This window comes from Homo sapiens, chromosome 4 (assembly GCF_000001405.40).
Source record: "Homo sapiens chromosome 4, GRCh38.p14 Primary Assembly".
Lineage (NCBI taxonomy): Eukaryota > Metazoa > Chordata > Mammalia > Primates > Hominidae > Homo > Homo sapiens.
In genome coordinates, this window is record NC_000004.12 from 155,516,527 (window position 1) to 155,523,823 (window position 7,297).

The following is a 7,297-nucleotide window of genomic DNA, read 5'->3' on the forward strand; positions in this document are numbered from 1 at the left end:
CTTCAACATTTTTAATTTATATTAGCATTAGAAACCCATTGAAAACACAAGTCAATACTCAATTCAAAATAAGGTGACTTTACTTTCTTTAGGTATAAGAAATCCTAAACTCTGAACCACAATAAAAAACTGCAGGATTAGAAACCTAGATTCAGGACAAGACAACCAAAATCATAAAGACTCCTTTACAACTTCATAGTTTGTGCAATCTTAGCAAATAATATTATTTTCATGATCAGAAAGTGTATTTAAACTTTAACGTTTTTATTTTATTTTGTCTAATTTTTATTGGCCTTACAGACAAGATTATTTTATTCTTTTCTAATTGCTTTAATGTCTTTCTTGTTCGATATTTTCTGTTTTTCTGTTCAGTTATCATGACTGCCTATTTAGAAACAGACTTTCGAAGGTGTGAGTCTTAAAGTCAGAGCATAGCCAGTCCTCATATTTATTGGTAATTGACTTTTTTTTTTTTTTTTGATAGGGTCTCACCTGTTGCCCAGGCTACAGTGCAATAGTGAGATCCCAGCTCACTTCAGTCCCAAACTCCTGGGCTCAAGGGATCTTTCTGCCTCAGCCTCCTGAGTAGGTGGGACTGTAGGCATGTTCCATCATGCCCCACTAATTTTCCTTTTTTATTTTTTTAGATAGAGAGTCTCACTATGCTGGCCAGACTCGTCTCAAACTTCTGGGCTCAAGCAATCCTCCCACCTGCCTCAATCTCCCAAAATGCTGGAATTACAGGCATAAGCCATCACACCCAGCCAGTAATTGACTCTGAAAGTAACACACAAAGATTGGAAAGTGATCTAAGTTCTGAATTCAAATATCAACACATGCATTTTGCTATTTCTTTGTTCTTTAATTGCAGCAAGAACAAATAACATGAGATCTATCTTCTTATCAAATTTGTAAGTATATAGTAGAGTAATGTTACCTACAGGCACAATGTTGTACAGCATTTGTTCTACATAATGTTCTACAGGTATCTGTAGAACTTATTCTTCTTACCTAACTGAAACTATGCCTGTTAAATGGCAAATCCCAATTTTCCTCTCACCCAGCCTCCAGCAACCACTATCCTACTTTCTGTTTCTGCTAGTTTTACTATATTGAACTCCATATATAAGTGGAATCACATAGTATTTGTCCTTCTGCAACTAGCTTATTTTACTTAGCATAATGTCCTCAAGGTTCATTCACGCTTTCTTATATAGCAGGATTTGTTTATTATGGTTGGATAATATTCCATTATATGTTTATAAGACATTGTCTTTACACATTCATCTCTCAATGAATATTTTGGTCATTTCCACATTATAGCTATTGTGAATAATCATACAAAGGAATTGAACAGGGAGCCCAGAAGGAAACTCATGCTTATATGGTCAACTGGTGTTTGGCAAGGGTCCAAGAATACTCACTGGGAAAAAGAGAGTCTCTTTAATTAATGATGTTGGGAAAACTGAATATCCATAGCAAAAAAATAAAATTGAACACTCCTCTCACACAATATATAAAAATCAACTCCAAGTAAAAAAAACTTCATGACATTGTCTCAGCAATTATTTCATGGGTATGACACCAAAAGCACAAACAACAAAAGGAAAAATAGACAAGTGTGATTACATAAAACTAAAAAGTTTTGCAAAGCAAAAGAAATAACAGAGTGAAAAGTCAAGCTATGAAATGGGAGAAAACAATTATAAACTATATATCTGATAAAAGATTAATTTCCAAAATATATAAGGAACAACTTAATAGTAAAAAGGCAAGTAAGTCAGTTAGAAAGTGGACAAAGGACTTGAATAGACATTTCCCCCAAAATGATGTAAAAATGACTAACAGGTATGTGAAAAAGATATTCCCACTAACAGTTAAAAGATATCATCACTCGGCTGGGTGCAGTGGCTCATGCCTGTAATCCTAGCACTTTGGGAGGCCGAGGCGGGTGGATCACCAGGTCAGGAGATCAAGACCATCCTGGCTAACACGGTGAAACCCCGTCTCTACTAAAAATACAAAAAAATCAGCCGAGCGTGGTGGCGGGCACCTGTAGTCCCAGCTACTCGGGAGGCCGAGGCAGGAGGACGGTGTGAACCTGGGAGGCAGAGCTTGCAGTGAGGTGAGGTCACGCCACTGCACTCTAGCCTGGGTGACAGAGCAAGACTCTGTCTCAAAAAAAAAAAAAAAAGATATCATCACTCAACATCATTAGTCATCAGGAAAACACAAATCAAAACCACAATGAGATATTGTTTCATACCTGTTAGAATGGCTATTATATAATTTTTGAAAAACTGGTGTTGACAAGGATGTGGAGAAATTGGAAGACTTGTACACTGTTGGTGGGAAAATCAAAATGGTGCAGCCACTATGAAAAATAATTTGGAAGTTCCTCAAAAAATTAAACATAGAACTATCATATAATCCAGCAAATCCCACTTCTGTATGTTTGTACAATTGAATTAAAATCAAGATCTTGAAGAGATATATGCACTCCCATGTTTATTGCAGCATTAATCACAATAGCCAAGACATGGATTTGAAAGATATTAATACGTCAGAGAAATTGTCCAAAAGGAGCTTTGCTCGGTAAAGAAACAAAGGGAGGAGGGGGGTGGGATTTGTGTTTCTCAAGTTACTTCAATTTTAACTATTACAGTGTTTTGAAATTTCTCCAGTGGAAATATATATTAAACACAAGTATAACAGCCAACAAGTTTGACGGAGAGTTAACCAACTTTAACTCAAAGCATCATTTTCAAATGCCTCCTCTACAGTGTTCCTTCTAGTGAAGTAGATGTTTGGTTATATGAAGAGGACCTTTAGTGATAAACTTTTACAATAAACATGAGTAATCTATGTAATCAAATAACTGTTGAAGAGTCAGTCTTCAAATTTCATAGTATTACAAAAGTAAATGTTGATGTCCTAAATTGTACTCAGGTTTTGTTCAATATGAGAGAAGTTATAATGTAATGGAGAGAATTATTGGTCCTGTCTAGATGATCTGAGGAAACAAGATGGAGACTGCCACACGAGTAGGATTCTAAGGAAATTAACTCAATCTTGGCAGAGAGTTCTAGTTGTCTCTTCAGCATTCATGACCCCTCACTGTCCTCCTTAAGAAGAGAAATCAATTTTTAACTGAGCTCCTTATCAGCTTGTGGTCATATGACTATGTTCTGGCCAACAAGATACAAATGGACATGTATGAGACTTCTGGAAAACTGTTTATAGAGAATCTACTTCTAGAAGGAACACATTTTTAATTCTCTTAGCTTTCTTCTTCTACTTGATCTGCAACTCAGATATGAGAGCTAAAGTTTCAGCAGCCATCCTTGTCTATGAGGAAATTCTGAGGGTAAGAACTACGTGGTAGGATGGAGGGGAAGAATAATTGGCACTAACCTACTAGCTCTGAACAACCTATTTCCAGACTTACTGTGTAATGTGACATTTTTACCTAGATGGCACTGTTTGTGCAATTATTTAAATATTTTATTACTTTCCACTCTCTTTACTTAGAAAGTTCTAAAACATGGACAAATGAAAATGTGATGCAAATGATAAAACAATACAACTGGCACAGAAGAAATTCTTAGCTTTAATTGTCTACCCTTTAGATTTATGTCATCCAACTGTCTGCTTAATTATGAAAGAAAATAAATAAGTATAAATGGTAAACACAAATATATATGCAGTGCTTAAACATATTTTTGAATATGTTTAAAATAGTTTATAAGGAATAGTTTATCATTTGACTTTTTATGTGGAGTTTTTCGTAGAAAGTTTTAAGAATTAATTATAAATGAAAGCAGAAAAATCCTGTAGTTACTTCAGGAATTTCTTGCTTTATAATGATGGTGTGACACTCAAAATAATTTTGAACATGTCTTCAAAATTAAAAGAATATTTTGTGAAAACTTATAAGCGGTGATAAATACTCGTTCTTTAGAGTCGATTTGACTTGAGAACCAGCCTTCAGTCACAGATCAAAGAGGAATGTTACTGAAGAGATCAGACAAGTTTGGTCACAAAAGTATGCACCTGCATGTCTTGTAAAAGAGCTCTGAAATTGCCATGAGAAAAAAAAGCATTTTTTCGAAATTAATGTCTGGCTTCCAAGGTGAGTCTTGTGAAGGAATATTCATTTGGTTGTATAACTTACAAACACAGTGTAATTTCCAGATGCAGTTTAGTAAGTTTCATTTTTTTAAAAACAGGCTTTTGTAATGCAACTTTTTACCTCCTGTTCCATTGCAATGTCTTTATTTATAGCTTCCCACACCTCCAAGATTTTCCCACATTTGGTGTTCAGCATATCCAAGTTACTAGCCAAGGGCAGCAACTACAGAAGAGCTGTAAGCATCGCAAACTTATGAGGACTTCAAAATGTCATTGCTTGGTAGACCCCTACTCTCTCCACTTGTTCTTTCTCAGAATCAATCTGACTCAGGATCCTAGATTTCTGAGATAGCCATCAAGGAATCATTCTGCCTAGATTCATGGCTCTTTTTGTTCTCTCCAAAATTAACTTATTCTGTGGGGTCATATATCATCTTTGGTCCCTATGCCTAAGTTTTACAACTTTCTACTTGCCCCTCTGGATCTTTGACTTCTGTGAATAAAGATTCCATTGTCCCCTTATATTCATGGCAGTGCCCTCATGAAGCCTGAGTTGTTCCCATAGCCAAGAGATACACTGATCATATAATTCAAAATCCTAACCGCATTTATTCTCCTGGAAATATGACTGAGTCTCTTGTTTCAGCTGTCTCTGTCTGTCCCATGATGGTCTGAGGTAAAAAGAGTTTGTTTCCTCCTGTCTATACTATCTTCTCACTGATAGTTGTTCATGTCAAAAAGTCTGTGGCTTTCTTTAGAAACAAAATAAAATCCAAATTTCTTAACAAACTCCACATAACCCTACACGAAGTGGTCCTTGTGTTACCAAAACATGTTTGGTCTAGTTCCTGCTTCTCGCTGAACAGGAAGCCAGTCACTGAAATGACGAGTATTGCCAAGGAAGAAGGCTTTAATCGGGTGCTGCAGCCCAGGAGATGGGAGATCAGTCTCTAATCCATCTCCTGACCCACCAAAAGTAAGAGTTTAGACAGCAGGGAAGAAACGTAACAATGTATAAGAAAGCAGGAACTGGGAAGGGGCAAGGAAGCAGTCACGATGAATGAGGGGTCGGCAACTCATTATCTGGGTGTGGTGATCTGGTAAGTCTCAGTTCTTTGATACTTCTTGAGATTCCTGGGAACCCTTTCCTGAGGAAGGAATTCAGATAAAATAAATATAAGTTTTAAGCTTAAGAGCAGAAGGGTCAATTTCTATATTCATCCGAAAGAAAAAAAACTATTCTATGGGACTATTGGATGGGTATCACTTGCCTATCACTTAAACCTTAAGTTCTTCCATCCTCCCTCTTAGTCCCCGAACTCCAGGTATTCTGGCCTTCTTTTCTGCTGCTGAACACACCAAGCTTGTTCATAATATTCAGATTCTGTACTCACTGTGCCTTCTGTTAGAAATGTTTGATTTTCAGATCTTCTCTTAGCTGCCTCTTCTTAGCATTCAGATTCCAATTCTCGCCTTCTCTAACCATTGTAGGTAAAGTGGTTACCGATCCTGCCTTCTCATTTTTCATCTTCTTTCTTCACATAAACCAGAGGCAGCTGGACACTTTAAAATGTTTTTTCCCAAGCTTTTATGGCCTGCTCCTCTGTTAGAATTTGTCTGTAAATGATAACACCAGCTTTTTTTCTTCCTCCTGTTTCTGGATTTGACGTGATTTTTAAATTCTTTCTTGGCTTTGTAAGTTAAGCTCCTGAGCTTAACTGTCTGGGTCTTGAAATTTGGACAACTTCCTTGAATTCTGAACTACATAGTTTTATAAACATTGCGTAGGTTTGTTTATTTTGTTGGTGTGAGCAATCAGTCTATACCACAGCTCTTTTAAGTAAGCACTAGGCCTCTTTCCACTTATCCCACTCTAAGCACCACCATGTAGCCCCACAATTAGGAAGCAAGATTTGACAAAGCCTTAGGTGTCCTCTAACAACCTTCTTACTAAATGCAAGAAATTTCTGTCACTTCCTGGTAAGTAGATATTCCGGCTTCTTCATGAATAACTCTGATAACATGGAGTCCACTATTTCACTAGACAGGTCATGTCAACTACATAAAACTCTAAGACTCCTTAGAGACTTCTTTCTTAAATTTATCTTAAAACGTTTCCTGGAAACCTCTACAGAATAGTTCAAATTTTACATTCTAGATGACACAAAATAATTCTTTACCATGTGCTAGCTACATGACCTGGTTAAGAATGGTCACAATCTAGGCATGGATTTGAGGAGCTATGGGATAAACCTAGCTATCAAAACCAAAAAACTATGGCAAGATCACTGACATCACAGTGTGGCAATCAAGTAATCTTGAAGCCATATGCTTCTTTCTTCACCATGCCTACTAATACCATTTATTTTCCACTGAGAATCCAGGAATAAATAACACCTCTACCTCTGAAAGGAGACAGTTTTCCAAGAATTGTTGAAGGGTAAAGGGGAAACATAAAGCTTTAAGTCTTTCTAAAGATAATTTGTGATATCCTCAAAACCTGCTCTCTTGTGCAAACAAATCCCAGTTCAATTTCTGTGTTTTCTAGGGAGCTTTACAGACTTGTGCCTCAGTTGTCTCTGATTAATGTTCCCCAACAAGTTCCCAAACAATTACTTTTTATTCTGGCTGAGTTCTCACAGTATAGCTCTTGAATATCTCTGCTTTGGAAAAATTGAACATCTGTAGCTCTCCTCCCTATTCCATTACCATGACATTTATTGAGTGCTAAAATGTACAAGATTATATTTGTCTCTGTGTTGTTAGGGCCCATACGCTGGTAGTCATTATACTTTTTCTTCTTTGAAGGTGTCCCTCCTTCACAGGGCTCACTGAAATACAGAACAGGTCTTGTCAGTTTGTGTGCATGACTATTTTTATCTCAGAGGGAGGGATTGTGGGATACAATTTATATACAAGAGATAAATTATAGACACACAGTGTCTGGTTACTCACTTAGCTTAAGCAGGTTTACATATGTTAAAGAGTATCTTCTAGGCTTGTTTTCCCTCTAACTCCAATCACTGATTCCTCGATTTCATTTTCTTGCTAGTTCACTGGGACATTTCACCTGGTAGGACAAGACTCAATTTTTCTTTTAGTACCCTTTAAGTCCTGGAACAAAGTTCTCTCAGGGGGCTTGAAATCCAGATTTCAGAGGGAAACT

At 36.8% G+C, this 7,297-nt stretch overlaps 1 long non-coding RNA gene across 1 annotated transcript; it reads right to left on the reverse strand.

Moving 5' to 3' along the window:
- Window positions 1-5,023: 5,023 nt before the first annotated feature.
- Window positions 5,024-6,078, reverse strand: LOC105377504 (uncharacterized). Its single transcript, XR_939376.3, has 2 exons — window positions 5,526-6,078; window positions 5,024-5,279 (listed from the first exon to the last, which is right to left on the reverse strand). It is a non-coding gene; the product is annotated as an uncharacterized LOC105377504 (long non-coding RNA).
- Window positions 6,079-7,297: the final 1,219 nt, after the last annotated feature.